The sequence below is a fragment of the Homo sapiens genome, chromosome 2 (assembly GCF_000001405.40).
Source record: "Homo sapiens chromosome 2, GRCh38.p14 Primary Assembly".
Taxonomy (NCBI): domain Eukaryota; kingdom Metazoa; phylum Chordata; class Mammalia; order Primates; family Hominidae; genus Homo; species Homo sapiens.
The window spans coordinates 216,412,664-216,438,151 of record NC_000002.12 but is presented as its reverse complement, the minus strand read 5'-3'; the positions used below and the strand labels follow the sequence as shown (position 1 = coordinate 216,438,151).

The following is a 25,488-nucleotide window of genomic DNA, read 5'->3' as shown; positions in this document are numbered from 1 at the left end:
TCAGAGGCTGCTCAAAGAAACCACTAGAAGGTGGTTTGCTGCTTTGTAAGAGGCACCTCCCACCTGTGGAGCACTAGACCAAGTGCCCCATAATGGGCCCTGCACTGGTGCAAAGCTCTGGGGTGTCCAGCCCCTGCCCTCAGGGGCTCAGGGTGCAGGAAGGATGCCAGACACACTGACAACCGATCAGGCTGTATTATCAGTACTGTCACTGAGGCGAGTGTAAACAAAGTGCTGGGGAAACTGAGAGACGGAAAGAAGACGATATGATTCCTATTCTCAAGGAACTGCTATGTTTAGAACATGAAGTCTGATTAACCACTCTGTATCTGTGCATAAGCAAATACATACATATATATATATATAGTTTGTTTTTCTTTATTCTTTTTTTCTTTTTGTTGCATAAGCAAATATAGAGTTGATCATATTTTCTAAAGCCAAATGAGTAACTAATACATGAGTATTTAAGTGGAAATTTTCTAGTTTGGTACAGAGTCAAATTCCTTGCTGTGTGACTCTGAGCAACCACCTCTCTGTAATGCCAGTTTTGCTGTCTGTAAAATGGGTATCATAATTCCTTATGTATTAGGTTGCTGTGAGTCTGAAATGAGCTAACACATGTGAAGTCCTTAGCACAGCCCTGTTACTCAGTAAGCACTCAATGGTATCAGCCTTCCTATAGCTGGGATACCAGTGAGATCCCAACGCTGTCCTTAAAGATGATCTATAAGAAATCCCCTATTCCATTTCAGCTATCATGAGCAAAAAGGGCCACAAAAGCACAGCAGAGGGGAGTGTGAAATAACCCTCAAAATATCAAGAAAGTATCCTGTCCAGAAAGCTGGAGTGTTACGGTCATATGCCTTTCTGATCATGAGACCTCATTACAGTCAAGTAAAATGTATTTATGGAGAAAAAACACAGAAAGTACAGAGGATATGGAAGAGAATGGGCCCTTTCAACCAATGGGTAAAAATGTGCCAATACTGGAACAAATCTCAAAGAATGGTTTAAACTGAAGCCTCTTCTGAAAAGTGTGACACTTCAGAGCCATCACTCTATTCTTTCTTACAACATTTCTCTGAAAGAAAGAGGACAGAGCTCTTACTTAACTGAAGAACAAACCAACAATGGTGGTAAGTGGCTTGCCAAAAATCATACAGCAGGTTAAGTGATGGGCCAGAAAGAGAAGAACATGAATTCTGAAGGCAGACGCAACCCAGCTTTATTCAATAACCTCCAACTTGCTAGCTTTGTGCCTATGGGCAAATTTATGTACCCACTCTCACTGCCAGTTTCATCAGCTGTGAAATGGATAATTCACAAGGATAAAAGATAAAGCCTACTCAGGGGCCACTGGGAAAATAGATGATTATATGTCAGTACCTAACACAAGGCAACACTCAAGAATTGAAAGCATTATTCTTCCCACACACTGTAGAGCCATCCCCATCATCCTGGGAAACTTCTTGGAATGTTTTCATTTCACATGTATGCTGACATCTTTTCAAAGCCACACTTGAATTTGTGCCGAACCAAAAATGACTCCCCCAAAGACTCATTACCTATATCACTTTGCAAAACTATCAACACTCAAGTTTGCTTATGCTAAGAACACAGTGTGGTTCTCATGTCCAAAACAGAATAATAGATCCCCTGAGGTCAGTAACGGTATCTTCTCCTTCCTTTCTCTAAGCTCCCACAATATTTGTGTGAGTTATGTAAATATACTCAGTACTGACAGAGATGGCTGGGTACCAAGTCTGTCTAGACTTTCCTTAGGAAGTATGTGAGGAGTTAAAAGTAGGAAAGCCTGCAATTGAAAGATATGTTGTCAAATCTGGAAGCAGGTCCAGTCAGACCTTCTTTAAAAAACAATTAGAGGCCGGGCAAGGTGGCTCATGCCTGTAATCCCAGCACTTTGGGAGGCCAAGGTGGGTGGATCACCTGAGGTCAGGAGTTCGAGACTAGCTTGGCCAACATGGTGAAACCCCGTCTCTACTAAAAATACAAAACTTAGCTGGGCGTGGTGGCAAGTGCCTGTAATCCCAGCTACTTGGGGAGCTGAGGCAAGAGAATTGCTTGAACCCGGGAGGCAGAGGTTGCAGTGAGCCGAGATCACGCCACTGCACTCCAGCCTGGGTGACAAGAGTGAAACTCTGTCTCAAAAAAAACAACACAGAAAAACCTCCAAAAAACAGTTAGAGTAAAAAGTGCTTTTGTGGGGTGGGGGTGTATCTTCACATTGGCTGGAAGAAAACTCAATTGTTTGAGTAAGATGGCACCAGATGTAGGCACACCCCCTTGCCGTCCAGGTTGTAGTACCCAGAGCCCCCAGGTGGCCTGGGGTCCACATGCTGGCCTCCATCCATGAGTCACGCTGGGAAAGAGATGAGCTAGAAATCCCCAGCAAAGACTAATTAAATCACAATTTCAAAAAAAGCTCCCTAAGAGATTCTAGTACGTAGCCAGAGTTGAGAATGGCTATTTGAGGGGAATGAATTTCCAGTTCCCCACAAAATAAAGACAGTGATTTCTATTCTTCTAGAAACTAAATGGGGCTCAAGGAGATTACAGACATGAAAGTTCTCAGAGCTTTTACAAAGAAAGTTTCCAGAGAGATAAAGTACTTAAAGACTTTGCCAAGTTTCTTACAATGATGACAACTTTAAAAGGGGTTTTTAGCTGTTTTTCCAACTTGCTAAGAAGGTCAAAGCTGACAATGTTGATCAGGCCAGCTGTCAGGCGGTCCTTCCCAGTCACCACGACGTTGATGCAATCTGGGCTCAGAGATGGCAGCCACCGAAGGAAGGCCTGTGGATGACAGGAGGGAACAAAGCTACAATGACCACCCAGCACAGCAGCTGTTGGTTGTGACAGCAGCAGTCTCATGCCCATCAACAGCCATCACCTCTACCTTCCTCTCACCTACCTGTGCCCCTTCACTTGCCACTAACAGGACACTCCCTTTTTTGTTTTTTTAAGAGTTGGGGGAGACGGGTGCGGTCGCTCACACCTGTAATCCCAGCACTTTGGGAGGCTGAGGAGGGCGGATCACCTGAGATCGGGAGTTTGAGACCAGGCTGACCAACACGGAGAAATCCCATCTCTACTAAAAATACAAAATTAGCTGGGCATGGTGGTGCATGCCTGTAATCCCAGCTACTCGGAAGGCTGAGGCAGGAGAATCGCTTGAACCCGGGAAGTGGAGGTTGTGGTGAGACGAGATCGCGCCATTGCACTCCGGCCTGGGCAACAAGAGAGAAACCTCGGGTCTCAGAAAAAAAAAAAAAAAAAAAATAGAGAGTTGTGTTGGTCTCACTTTGTTGCCCAGGCTGGAGTACAGTGGCACCATCACAGCTTACTGCAGCCTCAAACTCCTAGGCTCAAGTGATCCTCCCGCCTCAGCCTCCCAAGTTGCTGGGACTACAGGTGCACACCACCATACTTGGCTAATTTCTTTCTTTCTTTTTTTTTTTCAAAGAGATGGGTCTCAGTATGTTGTTCAGACTGGTCTTGAAGTACTGGCCTCAAGCAATCCTCCTGCCACAGCTTCCCAAGTTGCTGAGACTACAGGCCTGAACCACCATGCCTCGCTATCTCCCTGCCTTTGTCAACAGTCACTTCACAGTGTCTGGGTTTCATTTCTGTGATCTCTAACTAGATGGTAAGTTTCTGCAGGGAAAGAATGCGACTCTTTTTAAGAGGAATTTTATGAACGATGTAGCAGAGCCTGGTACACTGAAGGCAAATCATAAACATTTATTGATGATGACGAGACTACTTATGTCGATATTTCTACAAATCTACCTTCTCTCTCTGGCAATCTGAGCATCTCTAGCCAAACCCACCCAGGCATCTGGGTGCTCACCTGCCTCACATGGGGTGACACTGTTCAATACAGGGAGGGCTGGCCTTTTCTCTAACCTCAGGCTGGTCACCGTCTGGCTGACTCTTCCTAGAATTTCTGAGGGTGCTGTGGGAACCTAACGCACACAAAATATGTTCTGAAGATTACTTTCTACAGGCACTGGCAGAATTCACAAGACTTGGGAGGCCAAGGCAGAAGGATCACTTGACCTCAGGAGTTCAAGACCAGCCTGGGCAACATAATGAGACCCTGTCTCATTAAAAAATAAAATAAAAAATTAAAATTAAAAAAAAAAAGAACTCAGATCACCAGGACAGAAAAAAAACAAGGTGCACATTTTTTAGTGTTTTTTTTTTTTGCCATCTCTTCGGTCAGAATAGCACATCTGGGCCTTGGACTGACCGGCAGTAGGAGGAGCTGCCTCTTCTGCATGAATGGCTCATGGAGGCCTCAGGAAGAAGTCCCAGGCTGACGTCAGTGGCATAAAGCTAGAAAAAGCTGTGGACGATGGACCAGGTCTTCCTTCTTCACTGAGTTTGTTCATGGGCTTTTTATTCATTTCACAAAAGCACTCTGATTCCTGGATTTACAGCAAAAAAAGCTCAAGGGTGAGTGATACAGTTTTCTTGTCAGGCTCTGGATCCATAAAGCTACCTGGCAGACAGTGAACATCCCACTCACTCCCCCCTCTACAGAGTGCAAAACCCCTGAGTTGGGAAGTCAGAAGATGCCACATCAAGATCCGCCAGGGCTCCTCATTAAGAGGAAGCATGGAGCTTAACCTCTGAGATTCCATTTTCTCATCTATAAATGGGGTTACTATCTATTGTACCTACTGCACAGGACTGTCATGGGATTGAGGAAAATACAGGAGGTAAAAATATTTTAAAAATTAAGTGTGGGCCGGGCACAGTGGCTCCTGTAATCCCAGCACTTTGGGAGGCCAAGACAGGTGGATCACTTGAACCCAGGAGTTTGGGACCAGCCTGGGCAACATGGCAAAACCTCATCTTTACAAAAAGTACAAAAACTAGCCAGTCTCATAATCCAGTTTCAAAATAAATAAAAATTTTAAAAAACAATAAAAAAGAAAAATAAAAAAAAATTAAGTGTGGTACAGATGAAAAGTATTATTAGCAGGGCACAGAGGTCCCAGAAGTGCCTGCTGACAGATGAACACAAGTCTCTAAGCCGGTTTCTCCTTGGCTTTCTTCCCTCAAGGTGTAACCTGATTCTAATCCAGAAAACCCCCAGCCTGCCCTCAGGTGGCATCTCATCTCTCTTCCTGCCTTTGCCTTTACTTGAGACAGGATCCTTAAAGATCCCTAGGCCCTGTCTGCAAACCATTATTTTATGACTCTAACACTGAAGAAAACCTTCTCTGTGAAAACTGCAATTTGAAGACCATTAACCTGCTCCCAGGTGAAGCGCACGGAGGATGGCACCACCACCAGGAGCGGCCACTCCTTCCGGTAAAAGGCTGCGATGCAGATGGCTTGGATGGTCTTCCCCAGGCCCATGTCGTCAGCGAGCAGCAGGCGGCCTCCTTTGGCTATGGCAAAACTGAAGGCAGACAAGGTGAGGATGGCACATTTCCCGGGGCATGAGTTCATCTGCCCTCATGTCCGGTGGGTCAGCACTGCTGGGTGAAGGCCACTTCACTGGCCAGCCCGGGCCCAGCCCACCACCAGACTTGCTCCCCAGAAGGAAAGGTACATAGGCCAAATAGGGAGCAGAATAAAAAAGAGAGAGAGAGAGAGAGAAAGCCCAAAAAGGAAAAATGTGGAATGTGGTCAAAAGGGAGAAGATCTGGAAGATGATTAGGTCGTGGAGGCCAAAGAAGGAAGTTTCCAGTGAGAGGAGTTGCCTCGGCCCACTGTAGGCAGGGCACAGGGGACGTACATGGAGGAGGGTGGTGGGAGTCCAGGACTAGCACTGAGGAGGGCATGCTTACTCACTCCAGAGTCTGCCTTGAAAGGAAGGAAAGGGTCGGGCGCGGTGGCTCATGCCTGTAATCCCAGCACTTTGAGAGGCTGAGTGGGGCGGATCACCTGAGGTCAGGAGTTTGACACCAGCCTGACCAACATGGTGAAACCCCATCTCTACAGGCACATGCCCGTAGTCCCAGCTACTTGGGAGGCTGAGGCAGGAGAATCGCTTGAACCCGGGAGGCAGAGGTTGCAATGAACCGAGATCACACCATTGCACTCCAGCCTGGGCAACAAAAGCGAAACTCCATCTGAAAAAAAAGAAAAAAAGAAAGGAAGGAAGGAAAGAAGAGCTGGTAGGGTGAAAAGAAGGCTTTCTGAAGATCAGAGAGTACTCAGTATGCATAAAGGCAGAGAAAGGGGCTGGCAAAGACAGAAGATGCTGCTAATGAGGACAGAGGCGAGAAAAGGATGGGAGGAAGGGTGCTTGTCCAACAGGAAGCACCAACCTCAGCACTGAGTTTTTCACTATGGCAGCCTCCAGGACCCTAAAGCCCTTAAGTGCAGCATCCCTTGCTAATAGTTCATGAATAAAGGTGTATTCCACTATTTCAGAGCCAGATTGGCTGGGGTTGGAGTCCCAATTCCATCACTCAGCAGCTGTACACCTTCATGCACATGATTTAACCTCCCTATGCCTCAGCCCCCTCAGCAGTAAGAAGGGAGTAATAACAGTACCTATCTCATGGAGCTGTGGGAGGGTTAATAAAGCTAATACTGAAAACAGTGGTTGGCAACATCATAAGTGCTAAGGAAGTGCTTCTATCATAACTACTATTCCACAAAAAGAAAAAGAATCAAAACACAAACAGTAAAAATGACTTGCTCGTGTCGCATGATGAAACAGTGAAAAGCTAAAAGGATCCCAAGTGCCAGATGTCTGGTCCTCTGTGCCAAATACTAGTCTTCTTTCATCTAATCTCTGAAAAATAGATCATTTGCTCAGAATCCTGATAATAAGCCGCTGGGATAGTTCTTTCTCTTTCCTTCTCACACAGTGAAAACAGAGAATGTCACCTCTTCTAATCAGCAGCTAGCAGGGCGGACAAGAAGTCTAGGCTGCACTTGCCCTTTCTGAATTGCCTGGAAACACCGTTTCCAAAGATGGAAAACTGGGCAGCAAATCCCCAGGCAGCCCGAAGCCAGTAGAGTGTGGGGACAACAGGCATCATGGCGTGGCACCCTTCTGTTCTCCCTGCAGCCTGGGCGGGGGCCTGCCTAGGAGAGGGGGCAGCCCTTCCCAAAGCCCAGCTTTGGCGGCCTCACCCTCCACTGGGGAGGAACGGAGCCGAGCAGTGGGCTGCCTCACCTCTCCAGAACAGGCGCAGCCTCCTCCCTGTACACCCACCTCTATGAAATCTTCTGGACCATTTCTGGGATCAACCCACAACACAGACAGATGGGGGGAGGGCAGGTGTGAAAAGATGTATTTTTTACCTCACTTTCTGATTTACAAAATTGGTGGCCAGCGAGGACAGGCAGTACCTAAGCAACGGAATCCATGGAGAGCCCCACGCCCTTTGAGCGTCTTTTGTTTCAGCCTTCTCAGCTTTACCATCTATAATTTCCAGAAGTTTGGTCTATCCGCATCCTTAGAGCAGAATGGACCCCCTGAATTTCACATTCTCTCCTTTTTCCCCTGCCTAGAGGGAGCCCAACTAAGGAACAAAGTGGCCAAAAAATGACAACAAAGACAGAAAAAGCCTGGATAACAGAGGAACAATAACATAAGTAAATGTCATCCTCCACAGGGCAGTTGAATACAATAGAAAAAAATGTCATACTCAGAAATTAATCAATCAGAAAACACAGATTTAAGCCCCAACTCCACTTCTGACTGCTGAATAACTTTAGGCAACTGACTGCCTTTCTAAGCCTCAATTCATTCACCTGCTGAAGAGGGTGACTTGGATATTAGAAGATGCTGATATTTCTAAGAGATTTTGCTTTATAAATTAATGGGTGTGTTCAATTGTAGTTCTTGCATTAAAGAAAACAAAACAAAACATAGAATTGACAGCCCTCCTCCCCCAATGCCAAACCCCCACCTCTTCAGACTATGAAAGTTAAAATCTGAGTTTATTTAGAAAATTCTGAAGAAAGATTACAAGTACTTTAGAGCCACAGAGAGAGAAACAGATCTGCCCTGGGGCGCCTCACACACAGAGCCTCTCTCAGGGGTAATGGGGTAACTGGTAAAACCAGCACCCAACACGTGGGCCCAAGGATGGCTAACAGTGCCACGAAGAACTTGGATGCTGAAGGCAGGGGCTGCCCAGGGGGTGGGGCTGGGCAACCTCTACTGCAGCTTTAATAAAGAGGCCCAGAGAAAGAAAGATGAAAGGAAAAAACCACCCTGAGCCTGGTTAAAACAAGGCCCAAAGGACATCTCACCAGCTGGAGCATTGGAATGGCAATGCCAGAGGAGGTTTTGCAGAGTGTGCTATGTAAGAGAGATGGAAGGAAATGAAGAAAAGAATTAGGGGGAAGGGCTGGGGCCAGGTAACATAATAAAGTGCACTGTGCCCAAACGGCACACCGAGACCCAAATCCTGCCAGAGACGGTAGCCAAGCTTTCACCAAAATACCACAATCAGGCTTCGAGCAGGCAGGCTGTTGTGGTTTGTCAGTGCCATTGTTAATTTAGGTTCCTTCCCTTGCACAGGGCTCTATGTTCAACTACACTGTCTAATAACAGCTTCTTATTTCTAGACAGACTATCAAGACTTCCTCTTTCTTCTCCTTGAACTCCCATATTTTTAAGAGAAGGCTAGTTCAAATACGGCATTTTGCTTCTCCCAAGAAACTCTGGAAAAAAAGGAAAGATCAGGATGTAGGTTTATCTTTTTTCTTCCTCTAATAAGAGCACCTTGACTTTCTTTTGGAGAACTGCCACCTCCCACTTTCAATCCCAGTAATTTAGGTGGGCAGGCCTTACCCTCTGGTTCTAGGGACAGGCCTATCACCAAGTCTAATCAACAAGACCTCAAGCCTCCAAGGCCACAAAGACTGGCTCCAACATTGGTACCAGACTTAAGCCATTGCAGTGTTAGCCCCATTAGAAAAATGGTGCTTCTGTGTGTTGCTAAGCTGAGAATGCAAGCTGGAAGCCCCTGGCGGCCCGAGCTGCCACACTTGAGTAACACCTGCTTGGGAACAGAGCAAACAAACAGAAAGCAGATCTGAGAGAGGAGAGCAGCCTGATGAGATCTTTAGAGATGCTGGATTTTCTCTTACAGGCACTGAGAAATCTCTTTCCTTAAGCTAATTTGAATTGGGTTTCTGCATAGCTGCAATTCAGAGTCTTGATTAACCCATGGAATTTGAAATCAATGGTTACAATAAAGCTTTGGTAACAGCACACCTGGCTGTTTAATGCCTAGACTCTTCTAAATTTTCATCTATCCATGGTAAATAAAAGTTCATAAAACAGGAAGCATCTGAATGCAGTCTGTGGTGAGTAATGAAATTTGAGCAACAGAGGAAGAGAGAGGAAGATCAAGAACCTACTTGACTCCAGCTCTCTGAAAGGGCATCAGATTAGACACGAGCTTGGGGTCCACTTCAGAAAGGTCTGCCTCTGGGACATCTGGCGTGAGACTGAGAGATGTCTTCTTGAGCTGAGAAGCAAACGCCAGGGTGAGAGTCGTGGGCAGAGGGTCCAGCTGAACTTGTGGGAGGCAGCGCACCTTTGCAACTGAAAAGAAGAACAGAAGCATATGAGCTGGAGTGTTCATGCCCAAAAGATTTGGAGAAAGAGGAGCTTTGGGATATATATATTTCCTTCCAGTGATGCTGGTCCTAGGTCCCTATATAATGGGTGGAGAAATCTCTTCTAGTCAGGACCATTAACCCAAATGGGAAAAATAAATTACTTGGGATCTACATGGAAATGAAAGCAAATGAATTGCACTGACCTTGCTTTTTGAAAGAATGTAGTCTCACCTGATTTTAAACTTCAAAAAAGAGGGGAAAAAACCCCTTTATTCAATAGAGAAACAGAAAAAGAATAAACCGGAGAGATAAATAAAACACATAATTCTTGGGAGAAGGAGGCTGAATTACAAATTAAAAATGCAGAGAAAAAATGACAGACCTAGAGACCTCTGGCAGTGGAACTACAGTTAAATCACTAACCATAGCCTGCTGTCCTGCAGGCTATCACTTTCAGGATGTTCTTCCCTTTTATAATTTTCCTTTGAAAAATCTAATTAGAAGAGTAGCCATTATTTACAGATCATCAATTGCTCTTTATCCTTTACCTTTTCAAGGGCACTCTGGGAGTCAGAGTAACCCACCAAAAGGCTAATCGTCCTCCGGTATCCAGTAAAGGAAACTACAAAGAGAAACTGGGTATTATTTTACTTCTATCCAATATTATTTGAAATCCTAAGGCTGGTTCTCTATTTCATACACGTACATAAAACATGTGTGATCATATGTTTTCTGAATACCCTCACAAGTGATTCCAAAAGTCTTTTGCCACAACCATCAATTGGTTACCACTGTAAATACTGATGTGAACGTGCAGGGCTGAGCCATCTACTGCTACCTCCAATTGCTTTGTATTTTCAATATATTTAAGTCCATTTCTCTCCTCCACTAAATATAAGTACCAGTTATTTCTGGAAATAGTTTCCACAAAAATAATCACCATGAGAAGAAATTAGGGAAGGTTGATGGCATTAATACAAAACAGACTGTCCATATTGATGCAGAAATACATTTTATACCTCCAAATTAAATCTGAGTATGTTGATTTCTACACACTTCAGGAGGCTGAGCACTCCTTGTGCTTTCAGAAACCATTTTCATTTTAATTCTAGTGATCTTCAGAACTCAAATACCTGATGAAAGCTAAGAAAGGGCTGATGAACTGGCTGGTAGAAAAGGCAGGGCTTTGTAAGCGTTATGTTCCTTCGGCCATTTAAGAGGAATAAAACCAACATCTACTCTGTCTCCTACCAACTACTGTCTCCAAAATCCTATGCTGCTAGTTCAGCCATCTCAGTGTTCCTGAGAAAGACACCATTCCCTGACAACGACTGTCTCTACTGTCCTTTCCCTGGTACTAGGAGATGACAGACGTGTTGTCGGCTTCGTGAGTCATCTAGAAGTCATTTCTGTAAAATAGCTCTTTGCCAGAATGCTACTAGCCACATAGCAGAGATGCTAATGTTTTCAAATAGCAGCTAACAAGACAAGATTGTTGAGAACCCTTCTGGACTGACAGCAAGGGGAAAACAAAAGGACTTATGCCAATTTCACTGGGGGCAAAAGGCCTGAGTCACTTAGAAAAGAGAGAGGAGGAAAGCTTAGATTCTCCTTACTAAAGAAAATAACTCCCACTGCTTCACCAATGAGCATTCACGTACTCAGGTCTTATTGTCATTTCTTCATCAGTTTCCTATGCACACGTTCACTAACTCAGGGTCATCGATCTAATTTCACTCATGAGGAAGGACAGCATGGGGTGAGGAAGGAGGTGCGCATTCCCCAGGTTCACAGTACTGGCGGAGAAATCAGAACTAAATTGGAACTGGGCTCTATTCTCACTGCTTCCACTCCCAGCTTCTTAGTTTAGCTGGCTTCTAAATTCCATAATGGGTCATTTTACAAAGGCAGATGGCAATTTTACTCTTATTTCTGTCACTGACTTTACTGTAACCTTGCAATGCTCCCAGTAAGGAAAGCCACTGTTTCCCTTCTCTGGGCCCAACCTTTTCTCAGTCTTATCTTCCGTGAGACACTGTCATGATGAGATAGCAGGTAAAAACTCTAAATCTAGAATCTTCACTCAGGATCTATGGAATCATCTTTATCAAGTGCAAAATCTTATTTGTGGCCATTATGTGCATTTTTTTCTGGGTGAAGAATCCATTCTTTTCATCAGATATTTCAAGGAGTCTGTTGTCTGCAAAAGATCAGGAACCACTCTACAATGCTATGTGAGTCACAAGTCATGGTTTTTCAACACTACATTTATCTACTAATGCTGTAAATGTCCTGCTTTTTGTCATTCCATAAAAGTCAAAGACTTTATAGCTAACATGTGTGTGTTTCCTGGTTGAAAGACAAAAGCGAGAAGGAAAGAACTCACTTCTATTTTTCTTAAAAAATTCAGCTTTTGTGGCTGGGCACGGTGGCTCACGCCTGTAATCCCAGCACTTTGGGAGGCCAAGGTGGGAGGATCACTTGAGGCCAGGAGTTCAAGACCAGCCTGGCCAACATGGCAAAACCCCATCTCTACTAAAAATACAAAAATTAGCCGGCCATGGGGATATGCGCCTATAATTCCAGCTGATAACAGCAGGAGGCAGACAACTTCCTAGGCAGACAGGGGTGGGTCCACAGTGAAACCCAACCTTTAAGCCAAAGACAGACTGAAACCTGAAAACCAGGCTGTCAGTTCCAGGTGGAGTCCACAACCCAGAATAAGAACTTCCTCAATGCCTTTTAGCCAATCGAATGGTGCTTTTTCCAGGCCTGCCTATGGACCAATCAGCACACACACCCCCATTCTGAGCCCATAAAAACCCTGGACTCAGCCACATGTTGGGACTACCCACTTTGGGTCCCCTCTCCACTAAGAGCTGTTCTGTTGCTCAATAAAACCCTTCTCTGCCTTGCTCACTCTCCAGTTGTTCATGTAACCTCATTCTTCTTGGACGCAGGACAAGAATCTGGGACCCGCTGAATGGCAGGTGAGAAAAGGGCTATAACACATTCTTGGTCTGCTCGCCAAGCTGCAGGCAGTGACATGCTCCTGTCTGCCGAACCACAGGAGTGAAGAGTGGCAACCTTTCTGGGAGCCCAGACCTTGGGACTCCCTCGGCCAGAGCTGTAACATGCTGTAACACCCCCTTAGGGCTCCATGGTTGCTGGTGTCTTCAAGTTTTCAGGCACCAGCACATTCCCATCATCCAGCCGCTGGTGCCCAAGGCAGAAGCTGCTTGTGGTATGCCTAGTCCAGCTGCAGCCTCATACAGAGCTGGTGCCTGTGCCACAGTCTGGAGCTGCCCGCTCTGCTGCAGCAGCTGGCGCACCTGGCTATGTGCTGTGGCCAGACTCTACACTCACTTGCTCACAAACCCTCTGCTGCTCCATGCCTAGCTCGCCCTCAGTGGGTGTGGAATCTGGACTGGTAGCGTGAGCCGAGCGCAGCCTGCCAGGTCGAGTGGGCAAAGCAAGCCCAGTGGCAAGCCCAGCTGGCAAAGTGGCACCAAAAGGATTCTGTGTACAGCTACTTGGGAGGCTGAAACAGGACAATCGCTTGAGCCTGGGAGGCAGAGGTTGCAGTGAGCTGAGATCATGCCACTGCACTCCAGCCTGGGTGACAGCGAGACCCTGCCTCAAAAAGAAAAAAAAATTCAGATTTTGCCAAATAATTCCCTCTAAATCACAAGTTCCAAATAGTAGCAGCCAGAGAGTCTCAAGATCACCGTGAGCCATTCTTTCTGCTTCAGCCAGCATTTATTAAGTTACCATCTCATATTCAAACGTAATCATGTAGTTCACAGCAAGTTTTGCTCAAGGAACCAAAGGCTCTTCCTTTATATTTAATTCCTATGTCAGGAGAGCAGATAGAGATTAAAGACCACCGCTTTTTTTACTAAAGGGACAATGGGACCCAGAATGTTTAATTATTTACCCAATGTCACATAGTAAGTCACATAAGAAGGAGACAAAAGGAAGGAACCCAGTTTTTCCCTCACATTGAAGCCCTAGCCTGCCAGGGAAGATGGCCAATGACTCAGAGCTCCCAGGGTTGGCTCGTGTCTGTCCTGGCCTGATTGGTACCCACAAATGACTCCTTCCTTGGTTTGGGAGGCCCAACAGGCCATCAGGATTAGGAGAAAAGCAGAGGAACATAAGCCATGCTAGCTGCAAACCCAATGCAGAATTGTTACAGCCAGATAGATAAGGGACTGGTATTCTGGTACAGTCTGAGATATGACCATATTTCCTTTTTCCAGGCATATTAGAATTTATTGCCCCATCTAAGCAAAACACAGAGAAGAAAAATGATAAACCCAAAATGGCTTCCTCTTCTTGCACTTATGCTATCTGTACACATATCCCTTTTCCTTGGTCAGTCTGTAAAGTGCTTGTTAAAATGCCTAAGTCCCTGGCCTTGACTTCTGCCCCAAACAGAACTCTATTATGAAGTCCATTCCCAGTGATACTCTCCTATCTTTCTTGATCATCCCATCCAGTTCTAGAAGTACACTGAGAGCCTATTCTTAGAAGTAATCTATGGTCACTTCCACCTAAGCTAAGCAATCCTAGCTCACTTCTGATTCCTAAAGTCTATGTACCCATGCTTCTAGCACTTCTATGACAGCAGGAAGATTTCACAGGCCTGGGAAATTTCACTACTGCCACCTCACCCTTATGATAGAAGAGGCCCGGCATTTGTCTGGGCTGTCATAAAGCCACCATCTCAGTGGATGTGGACAAGGCTGCATCCTCACCTTTACTTACCCTGTACTCAAGCATCCCACCACAGCAAAGGGAGGAGAAGATTCTTCAAAAATACATCAAATTTAAGGTGAATTATTAAAGCTTAACAATAGCATGATATAAAACAAGTAAGGAAGGCTTCTCACTTAGTTTACTGTGCTCTTCCAAGAGAAAGCTCCACTTCCTGGTCTTGACATCTGCAATGACAAGAAATAAATAAGCAAATAGGACACCCTGCCCTTCTGCTACGTGATCACACTTACTCATTTATTCCTTGGTTTCATAAACTTCCATTCAGCTTAGACAATGTGGCAGCTGGTCCTGTACCTAGCACTGCGGATACAGAAATTAGGAGAGTACTTTCCCTGGAGGCTTCCCCAGTATACTGGGAGGAAAAAGAGGCAGAGATGCTGACAACACTGGGTTGTAAGGGTTGTGATAAAAGGTGCCACAGGATACATGGCTGGGGAGGGTCTAGCAGGTCAGAAATGCCCTGAGTGACAGGGATGGTAACTGTAGCTCACACCTATGCAGCATTCGCATTCAGCCCGGCACTGTGCCAACACTCAGTGGCACCCTCTCATCTGCCCCTCCCAAGTCTGTAAGGTGGGCTGTTGTTAACTCCATTTTACACATGGGAAACAAGTTGCATGTGGTCAGTGGTCAAACTGCCAAAGTTTCAATTTTGGCTCTGCCTCTTGCTAGCTATGTCACCTTGGGCAAGTCACTGTAACACCTCTCCCTCAGTTTCCACATCTGAAAAATAAAGATATTACAACCCCTACCTCACAGGTTACTGTTTACATGAAATTAAAGGAAAATGCTTATAAAAGTATGACTGGAAAACAATGAGCACCCCAAAGCCAGTTATTATGAATTATTGTTAGTGGGATTATTACATCATCTGCTAATCAGCATCGTGTAGTATAAATTACACACAATATCAACTAAGAAAGGTGAGCATCTTTCTACCCAATGGTGGCTGATTCTTTAAATAGAGGAATTTCTCTACTAATCTATCTTTTGAAAAATCAAGAAAGCTTGGTCTCAGTAAATGCTATCTGGGCAGCAAAAGTTCATTCTTCACTGTATGATTCCTTCAAAAGCAAGGTGGTCAGAAAAAGGCATCATGGACACAGAGTCAGTTTCAGGAAAAAGCGAGGTCGTCCAGGTACAACCTGATGGAAGGAACAAAGCAGACAGACTAATCGTAAATGCAGAACTAGAAGGGGAAGGCCCTTTCTGACAACTTGATTCTCACAGTGGCACAGCAGCAAACAGGAAAAGATGTGAACAACAGCTAAGGCAAAGGAACCAATCACGGTTTTTGGACACCTGGGTGTGAGCAGGATCAGTATCCATACCTTCATGGTACCCACTCCCAGAATGCAGACCATGTCAGGAGTGTGATCTCACAGGCTGGTGATAGACACATATCACTGTATTTGCCTTTTTTATTTTTGAGATTGTCACCCAGGCTGGAGTGCAGTGGTGCGATCTAGGCTCACTGCAACCTCTGCATCCCAGGCTCAAGGGATTCTCCTGCCTCAGCCTCCTGAGTAGTTGGGATTACAGGATGGCACCACCACGCCTGGCTAGTTTTTGTATTTTTAGTAGACAGGGTTTCACCATGTTGGCCAGGCTGGTCTCGAACTCCTGTGACCTCAGGTGATCCACCCACCTTGGCCTCCCAAACTGCTGGGATTACAGGCCACAACACCCGGCCCGTAGTTGCCTTTTAAGGGCCACCCCAAGCTGAAGCCAAACACCTGAGGGGGCAGGAAAGGCAAAGGATCTAGACTGTCGTGGAGCAGCTCATCTCACGACCTGCCTGGGCCTCGCACAACTCCCCTGTGCCCTGCTCACCCGTCTGCCCTCATCAGTCCAAACTGCATCCATCTAAGGATGATGACGTAGCAACCAGCATCAGCCTCCTCCGGAACCCAAACCCTGATGAAAGCTCTTGTTAAGCAAGCAATTCTAGAGGCTTCTTCCAGGACAATGCTTGAATGTGAGGTCTCAAAGGCATGAGGTTTTAAGTATTTGAGTTCTACTTGATTAAGAACAAGATTAAACCAATTCAAGAATGGGGAAACACTGATCCATAAAAACTACATCGTTTTTAAAAAACAATGTGGCCCAAGCTGAGAATGACACCCAGGAGTCCAGAATCTATAGCTGCTTCTCCCCTATTCTGAAGGGGGAGCTTATGAAGAACCTCATGAAAAACTAAAGCAAAACGGCCAGGCACGGTGGCTCATGCCTGTAATTAATCCCAGCATTTTGGGAGGCCAAGGTGGGCGAAGAAGTTCGAGACAAGCCTGGCCAACATGATGAAACCTTACTTCTACTAAAAATACAAAAATTAGCCCAGTGTGGTGGCAGGTGCCTGTAGTCCCTGCTACTCGGGAGGCTGAGGCAGGAAAATCACTTGAACCCGGGAGGCAGAGGTTGCGGTGAGCCAAGATTGCGCCACTGCACTCCAGCCTGGGCAACAGAGTGAAACTTCATCTCAAAAATAAATAAAATAAAATACAGCAAAACTATTCTGTTGTGGCCAGTAGATTTCAAGACTGGCTTATAATTAGGCTTATCGGAAGATTAAAAAAACCAAAACAAACAAAAAACACCCCGACAATGTCCAAGCCCCACCTCCGACAAAATAAACATCTCTGGGTAAGAACCAGGCATCGGTGCTTTTGAAGTGGCCCTGTGATGCTGATGGGCAGGCCGAGAGCAGAACCACCAGCATTTTCAAACTGTGGCACCATCACCAGCAGCAGCACCAGCTCAGGGAACTTGTGAGAAACGCAAAAGTTTGGCTCCATGCTCAAGTTCCAGAATCAGAAACTCCAGTAGTGGGGCCCAGCTAGCTGCGTTTTAACAACCCCTGCAGGCAGTTCCCTGCAGGCTCAAGTTTGAAAACTACTAAGTTTGCATATGGAAAAGCATTTATTTTTATGGCAACCACCTGTTTTTCTGCTCTGCAAAGGCCAAAATAAAAACAGATGGGTTTTAAATGGCTGAAGCAGGAATTTACCTGCTTCTACCAAGAAGATATTGACCAGGGGGATATTATGAGGTCTTCTCTTTGGGAGGCCTTATGACAAAACAGCCACCACTGTATGTTTACTATCTGGAACAATTAACGTGTCATCTTTCTATAGGAAGAGGAGCAGAACAGGAAGTCTTTCCCAAGAAAGTAATTTTTGAATATTCGAGGTAGAGAAAAACACCCTATGTTGAGATCACAGACCACTACACATTCTGGGAATCAGACAAAGACCAATTACTTGCCATATCTTCTGGAATCCATCTGTTTAAAAAGCGCAATAAGGTCCTGTGAATAACTGATGTCTGCCTCGAAGTAGGCCCTGGAGATGAGCATGCATCGCCCTTTGACAAATGAAAGGGATGGAGCTGATGGAAGGCCGGCCTGTCCCTCACTGCTGGTGGAGGGTGACTCGCTGCTGCCATAGGCCCATTCCAGAGGCTGCAGGTTGACCGTGGGGAGGCTCTGGGCTGCTTTCACTGCCAAAGAAGAAGAATCGAACAGAAGTGATAAAGCAGGGGACTATGATGTGGCTTTGAAATACAGGCAAGGGAAGAGGGAGAAAGTGGGGAAGGGACATGGTCAAGAGGCACTAGGTTTGGCAGGAAGGCAAGAAAAGGCACTGTTAGATTAGGAAGACTTGAAAGTGTTTTTTAGTTGGGGCTTTGGGAATTTCAATATTTGCTGAATGTAACTTTCCATCTCCGTAAGTTTTTCTTTTTTTTTTTTCTTTTTTTTTTTTTTTTTTTGAGACGGGGTCTTGCTCTGTCACCTAGGCTGGAGTGCAGTGCCGTGATCATGGCTCACTGCAGCCTCAACCTCCCTGGCTCAAGTTATCCTCCACCTCAGACTCCCCAGTAGCTGGGACTACAGGCGTGCACCACCACATGCGGTTAGTTTTCGTATTTTTTGTAGAGTCAGGGTTTCGCTATGTTGCCCAGGCTGGTATCAAATCCCTAAGCTCAAACCATCTACGCACCTTAGCCTCCCGAAGTGCTGGTATTACAGGCATCAGGCACCATACCTGGCCTCCCTACATTTTTCACATCAAAACATTTAAAATTCAGAAATTAACAAGGGGAAGAGGAAGCTCGCCAGGATGAATAAACTTATTAGATAATTTCTGGCACGGTGTCGGAGAAGCCACTGAAGTCAGCACACCACAAATCACCCAGTTAAGCCCACTCCTAGGTCGCTACTCTGTCTACTGCTCAGAGAACAAAGGAGTGAGGACCAGGATCACCAGGTCACAAACACACAGTTCTGAACATTATTTCATCTACTACAGATGCATTTTATAATGAACAAATTCAGCTGTGTAACACTAAGCTGTCAACAGACACACACTGGAGTGAAAGGAAAAAAACCCTGAGTAAAGAAATATAAAAAGAACCCATGCTTTAAAAAAGTACTAAGACCACAAAAGAAGAGGGTAGTGTAGCCAATTCAAAACAGGAGGAAAAAGACTAAGAAACATTTGAAGAAATGTTCACCTTCACAAATAATCAGAAAAATAAGATACTTTTTTACTTCTCAAACTTGCAGGATGAGAAACAATTAGATATCCATATTGCTAGTTGGGAATAAAACCTGCTGGAAAACAATTTGGCAATTATAGCAAGAGCTCTAAGAATAATGATTCAACTTCTGGGAATCTATCCCAACTACCAGTTGAAAATACAGACAAAAACTTAGGTACGAAGGTGTTCCTCTACAGCTTTAAAACTGGAAAAACTGGCAGCCAATTAAAATCAAGCAGGAAAAAATAAACAACAACAATTTAAGCAATGTATGACACATTCATAAGACAGAATGTTATACAGCTATCAAAATTTATTTTGTATTAAAAATTCTGGAAAAGACAAAAGTAGTTCAACAACACGAAACCATTTCTTGAAGGTCAAAATGGCCCATTATGATAATGGACACATTTTCATCACTTAGAATTAACTGTTAACATTCAGTAAAGTAAATATGCTTTATGCTGGAGTATTAAATTAAAAGGGCAAAATACAAATTATATGCATATATAAAACTTTATATTTTAACGCATAGAAAAAAGGCTGGAGGGAATGAAACCAAAATGTTAATAATGGTTAGTTGAGTGGGGAGATTACGGGGGATGGTTTTTCTTCTTCACACGTCAAAATATGTTCTACAGTGAGTATGTGGTAGGGTTAATGAAGCCAAATCCAGAGATATACCTAAAGCAAAATGACAGAAAGACTGACACAGAGACAATTTTATATGTTATACCAATAAAAAGCCAATCATGAGACACAATCATGAACCTATCTGAAACTTAGAAATACAAGGAGAAATTCACAAATCCATAATTATGGCAAGGAATTTCAAGGTTTATCTCAGCAGGCAAAAGCTCAAGTGTGTAACACATTGGTAAAGATGCAGAGGAGCCAAACAATTAGAAAAATTCATCTGAAAGCTATATGGAGAATTTTTTTTCTCTTCTATGAGCTTCATTGAGAAGTATATATGGAGAATTTTGTATCCAATAAACATGGTTTTCAAAACATGTGGAGCATTACACAAAGCAATGATAGTCGGGCACAGTGTCTCACATCTATAATCCCAACAGTTTTAGAGGCTGAGGCAGGTAGATCACCTGAGGTCAGGGGTTCAAGACCAGCCTGGCCAACATGGAGGAAGCCCCATCTCTACTAAAAATATAAAAATTAGCCAGGCATGGTACACGCCTGAAATCCCAGCTACTCAGGAGGCTGAGGCAGGAGAATCACTTGAACCCGGAAGCCAGAGGTTGCAGGGAGCCAAGATCGCACCACTGCACTCCAGCCTGGGCGACAGAGTGAGACTCTGTCTCAAAAAAAAAGTAACGATATCACACAAAAAACCTAAATGAATCTGCAAAAGCAGAAGTCATCTAAGTCACCATGCACCGTGGTCAGAACAAGAGTAAAAAGACAAAACAACCGCAACAGGGGAAACCACTGGTTTAAGATCACCAGCAATGAGAATACCAGGTGTCAAAATCTGCAATCTTTATCCAGAGCCTTGGGTCTCCCCGTTCCAACACCAAATAAATCGATTAAAAAATGAGCCCTCACTAGACGGAGCTAGCAGCAGCAGCGTTATGGGTTGAATTGTGTCCCTCCAAAATTCATGTTAAACACACAGCCCAGGACCTCAGAATGTGATTGTATATGGAGATAGGGCCTTTAAAGAGGTTAATAAGTTAAATGAGGTCACCAAGGTGGGCGATAATCCAATGACTGGTGTTCTTCTAAGAAAAGGGAGAGACCCTAGGGATTTGCACACACAAAGGAAAATCCAAACAAGGACACAGAGAGAAGACAGCCACCTGCAGGGCATGGAGAGAGGCCTCTGAAGAAACCAACCCTACCAATCTCAGGCTTCCAGCCTCCAGGACTGTAAAAAATAAATTTGTATTGTTTAAGCCACCCAGTCAGTGGTACTTTGTCACGGCAGCCCTCGCAAACTAACAACACTAGCAGCTACCAAAGAAAGATATCGCCTAATGTACACATTTCAAGAATTGGAGGCCAAGGAGAAAACCAGGAAATTCTGCAGGGAGCTGTCCCATCACTGGCCCAAACCACCTTTCCCAGAAACTGTACTGGTGCCTCCAGATAATCCTACCTCATACCCCAAATCTGCAAAGTGACCTAAGCATACATCCTTATCTTTTCCTTTCTTAAGCTAGGGGGAGGAAGAGACGGTGTAGAAATGGCAGCTGGGGGAGAAGAGTAAAATAAATGGAAGATGAAAACACACAGGGCTGACGCTTTGACACAGGTGTGCAAGCTCCATGTACCAGGATCAAGTGACAAAAACTTTAGTGTATGACAGTTTTCTCAGAAGACAGAGGGACGTAACCAGGTGCTGACTATGACCAGACACTGCATTAGCTGGAACTTGCCTGGCCAATGCCCCCTCCTTGCATTTTTGAGTAGTTAGCTGCACAGAGAGTACTCTGAGGATCTGTGCTGTTTGCTGAACTGTTACCTTCCTGGGAGCAGGGGCTGGCAGGCTGCCTGAGCTGCCTGTCACTGCTGGGGCCAGCATAGTCTGGTGGGAACGTGTAGTCTGAAGTCAGACTGTCAGGGTTTGAATCCCAGTTGTACAACTTATTGGCTATGTGACCCTGTGTTACTGACTCATCGTCCCTGGGCCTCAGTTTCCCCATCTGTAAAAAAGTCATTATAAGGAATAAAAGTTAGCATAAGGGGCTTAGAATAGCCTAATGCAAAGCAAGCATCATTTAATGCTAGCTTTTGTTAATACTACTAACGGCCTTCACCCACAGAGCTGCCTCATTAGGCTAGACAGAGTGGGAAGGAGTGTTGGGGGGGGTGCCCTGAAAGCTTTCACCACCTGTAAAGCCATGCACTCCATAAGCTGGACTACATGTGATACTCTAAAGATTTTCAGCACCAGTGCCACCCTCCATGAGACAACCATGTGTCTACTTACTCAGGGCACTATAGTCATTCATGCTGAAGTTCCACGTCTTGGTGTCAGGATCTGAAACAAAACAGAGGACTGATGACTGTTGACAATTTGTACTTAGGCACTCAACACAAGCTTGTCTTCTAAATGAATGAATGAAGGACGCCAAGTTCAAAACAGCTGACCAGCAAGCCCCCACTGATCTATAAAAATCTCTGTAGAGGACAAATAGTAAATATAGATAATTCTTTTATTCCATGTAGTGGAATCCAACTCAGGCCCTGGGAAGTTATGAACTTCACCTAAGAGGACTGAGGGCAGAGTTAGGACTAGAATCCAAGTTCTCCAGGTCGTAGTGTGGTCAGGCAAAGCAGTATGAGGAGTAATGGCTCTGGCCTGTAATTGAGCTAGTCACATCCTGACGCTGCCTTTCCAGACCAATGAAACTGGGCCTGTCACTTAATCTTGCTGGGCCAGTTCCATCACCTTAAAAACTAAAATAACATCTACTTATTTCAAAAAAACTGCTGTTCAGCTTAAGTGCTACAATGCATATAAAGCACCTGGCAGAGGAAGCGTCTTCTCAGTAACATTCAACTGTTCTCCAGATGGCCACGTGACAACCATCAAGTTTGGCAGCTGTTTAAGGGAATGACTATTATGAAGGGAAACAAGCTAAAATTGAAAAATTTTTAACAACTGGATGGACAGCATGTGCCAATGCACTCTCTTAATATTTATGAGAAACTGTTAGATTAAAAGAGACTCCAAAAATAAGAAAAAAAAAAAAAAACAGCTGAAAAATGAAGACATTACCATAATTCTTGCTGGGCAGGGTCTTAAACACTGCAATGAGTTCCGCATTGTACCCAATCAACACCTGGAAACGATCGCCGTTCCTTACGCACTTTCCCTTCTGAGAGTTCACTCCTTTTTGGACTGAGGACCCTGACTTCTGCTGGAGTCTTCCTTCTGTCCTGGGCGTTACACTCTCTGAGCTAGAATGGATGTAAGAAATGTTCTGCCCCGAAGGGGAGGCTTTTGCTGTCTTGGCCTCTAACTTAGCATCCCTGGGAGGCTGTCCAGAGGAATGAGCTGGTGTCTCTTGGGAACTCTTTGGTTTGGCCAGAGGCTTATGAGTTGGGTTAGCAAAGGGTGTGAACCTGATCTCAGGTGAAGCCTGAGCATGACCTTGACCTAACTCATAACTCAAGAGCTGTTGTTTAGGGACCTCTGGAGGACTTTGTGCCAAGGGAGGAGAGATTCCAGTGAGAGCCATTTGACTACGTGGACTGTGGCCTGGGCAGGCTGTGGGCATTTCTTCTGGCTTTTTCCATATTCCCTTTGCCTGAAAACTGTGGGAATCATGAGGTCTTTGGTCAGCATTAGATGAGCTACTGAGATTCTGTTGCTTGAAAATGACACCATGGCTCACTGGCTTACAAGACTCCCTTGGGAAATTTTGGGATGGGCCTTGCTTGGCCTGGAATGGGTTGCCAGCAATGGAGGTGCCCGAGCTAGTCCTCTGATGCTGTTCTGCCAATAACTTCTCAGCTCTGCGGGCCAGAGCCTTTTGTCGATTCTCTTCAATCTTTTTCCTCTGCTCCTCTGTAAGAGGCAAGGACATTTTCACAGAGAAATGCTTATGCAGGAATGTCAACCTTTAATTGGAAAGTTGGCAAAAGCTGTGGAAGAAAGTAAGAAGAATGAAATGAACATTACATGTATTAATTGTCATACTCCAACCATGATTTTAACAAGCTTTTGTCCCAGAAAATGCATAATGAGCACAACTAAAGGATGTATTAAAGTTTCTTTTATAATTGCACACACACTGAAATAGTAGGCAGCATATGCTGAAATAAAGACCCTGATCAAAAAGCAAAAAGCAGGTCGGGTGTAATCCCAGCACTTTGGGAAGCTGAGGCAGGTGGATCACTTGAGGTCAGGAGTTTGAGACCAGCCTGGCCAACATGGTGAAACCCCATCTCTACTAAAAATACAAAATTAGCCAGGCGTGGTGGTGCACGCCTGTAATCCCAGCTACTTGGGAGGCTGAGGCAGGAGAATTGCTTGAACCTGGGAGGCAGAGGTTGCAGTAAGCCAAGATCGTGCCACCGCACTCCAGCCTGGGCAACAAGAACAAAACTCTCAAAGAAAAAAAAAAAAGCAAAAAGCAAATCCAAAGCTAAAAAGGCATTTCAGAGGCAATATTTCTCTCCTTCTCACATGGTAACTCACATGGTAACTCAATGGTTCGAAGCACTGCCAAAATGGTGAGTAACTCTTCTGATAACTCACATGGCCCAGCCAAGGTGAGTTATCAGAACCTAAGAAAGTTATGCATTGCAACGTAAATCCATCAGATAATGAGAAAGGTGACATTTTTAACCAGAAAGCATAATAGATTAGACTGAAATAGACCAACCAACCACATACCATGGCGTGACACTTGCTAACATAGTCTTTTTCCAACCTAGAAGAAGGAAAAAAGCATTAGCCTCCCATAGCCTGCACACTGAATTCTCCCCTCACATTCACCCCTTTTTATCATTCCTGGCAAATCAGTCTGCCTGTGGCTCAGTGCAAGCCAGAGCAGCTGGCCTTAGGACCTGACTTCCAACACAACACACGGAGCAACTGACTGACTCTCCTGGGAAAATAAGGAGCAGAAAAAAAAAAATTATGTGTTCACTGTGCAAATTAAGATGCTACATAAAGATGTAAACAAAAAAGAATAAAATTACTCTGTAATCTTACCAGCCATCAATAACCACAGTTGAAATTAATAATTTAGAGTATATAGTTCGGATTTTTTTTCATCCATAACAAAATGGCACATATTTAGGAGATATAAGAATTTATTATAAAGTAGGATCATTGTAAACATTCCATATTGCACCCTGATTATTTTTTTCCATGAATTTACCCGGAACATTTATTTTCCTATGAGCTGAGACATGTTTACAATATTTTAGAAGCAGCGGGCAGGACACACCAATTTGTCTGGCTTGGTTCAGACTAAATAGGCTGCATCTAATGTAATGCTGTGTAACGGTTACAATGATGATGTAGGGGTACTCCAGTAGCATTGCTTAGGCCTCTGGGCAGCTATAGGGTTCAAAGCCTTCCTTCCCTGCTGGGGCTCCCTTTGGCCAGAACCCAACCCCCCTCCCCCCTCCCCCACCACGAAGTATCTATCCCCAGAGAACTTCCACCTTCTCCAACCATTAGCAGTTAGGAAGGGGTGAAGAGGTTAGGAAAAGGTTTTGGAGGTGCACAGCAGAAGCCCTCAGTCTCTCTGGGTAACACACTCCTGCCTAAGTTTCCAACCAGGGATCTCCTGCACCTCCAAACTCCCCAGATCCCAGGCCTGGTAAGCTGTCTCCACTAACCAGAGAGACTCGGCCATAAGACCCACTGATCAGCCCCAAACCATAAATCCATTCCGCCACATGGACGCCCCTCTTCCCCTCTAGGCAGGGACCTCTGCCCCCCGCCCCCCACGCCCCGCATTTCGGGGCGAGCCTCACCCAGCCTCAAGGTAAGCGGGCGCCACGCCCCACTCCCACCCCTACGATCTCCACTTGGATTCACCCTTCCCATTGGCCCACTTCCTCCTCCAGGCTGGCATTGGTCTCGTCCGCCTCCGCCGCCTTCCTGCCAGT

The 25,488-nt window shown here is 45.0% G+C and overlaps 1 protein-coding gene across 2 annotated transcripts in view, besides 1 other annotated feature; it reads right to left on the bottom strand.

The window, feature by feature from the left end:
• SMARCAL1 (SNF2 related chromatin remodeling annealing helicase 1) overlaps nucleotides 1–25,488 on the bottom strand; it is a 70,570-nt gene that overhangs the window by 44,902 nt on the left and 180 nt on the right. Inside the window, exons 1-9 of one of the 2 annotated variants that reach the window (NM_001127207.2) lie at nucleotides 25,354–25,387; nucleotides 24,260–24,296; nucleotides 22,637–23,505; nucleotides 21,845–21,895; nucleotides 17,620–17,853; nucleotides 14,469–14,519; nucleotides 9,370–9,556; nucleotides 5,284–5,434; nucleotides 2,656–2,814 (exon numbers count right to left, since the gene is read on the bottom strand). In NM_001127207.2, coding sequence (NP_001120679.1) covers nucleotides 2,656–2,814; nucleotides 5,284–5,434; nucleotides 9,370–9,556; nucleotides 14,469–14,519; nucleotides 17,620–17,853; nucleotides 21,845–21,895; nucleotides 22,637–23,447 — 1,644 coding nt within the window. In that variant the 5' untranslated portion in view covers nucleotides 23,448–23,505; nucleotides 24,260–24,296; nucleotides 25,354–25,387. Of the gene's footprint in view, nucleotides 1–2,655; nucleotides 2,815–5,283; nucleotides 5,435–9,369; nucleotides 9,557–14,468; nucleotides 14,520–17,619; nucleotides 17,854–21,844; nucleotides 21,896–22,636; nucleotides 23,506–24,259; nucleotides 24,297–25,353; nucleotides 25,388–25,488 lie in introns of those variants that run through there. The other variant, NM_014140.4, reaches the window with a different exon arrangement.
• Nucleotides 20,339–20,398: an enhancer, noted in NCBI's record as "active region_17096". NCBI's record gives its function as "activates an Ori minimal core promoter by ATAC-STARR-seq in GM12878 lymphoblastoid cells {active_cell/tissue: GM12878}" and the evidence as "EXISTENCE:reporter gene assay evidence [ECO:0000049][PMID:35858748]".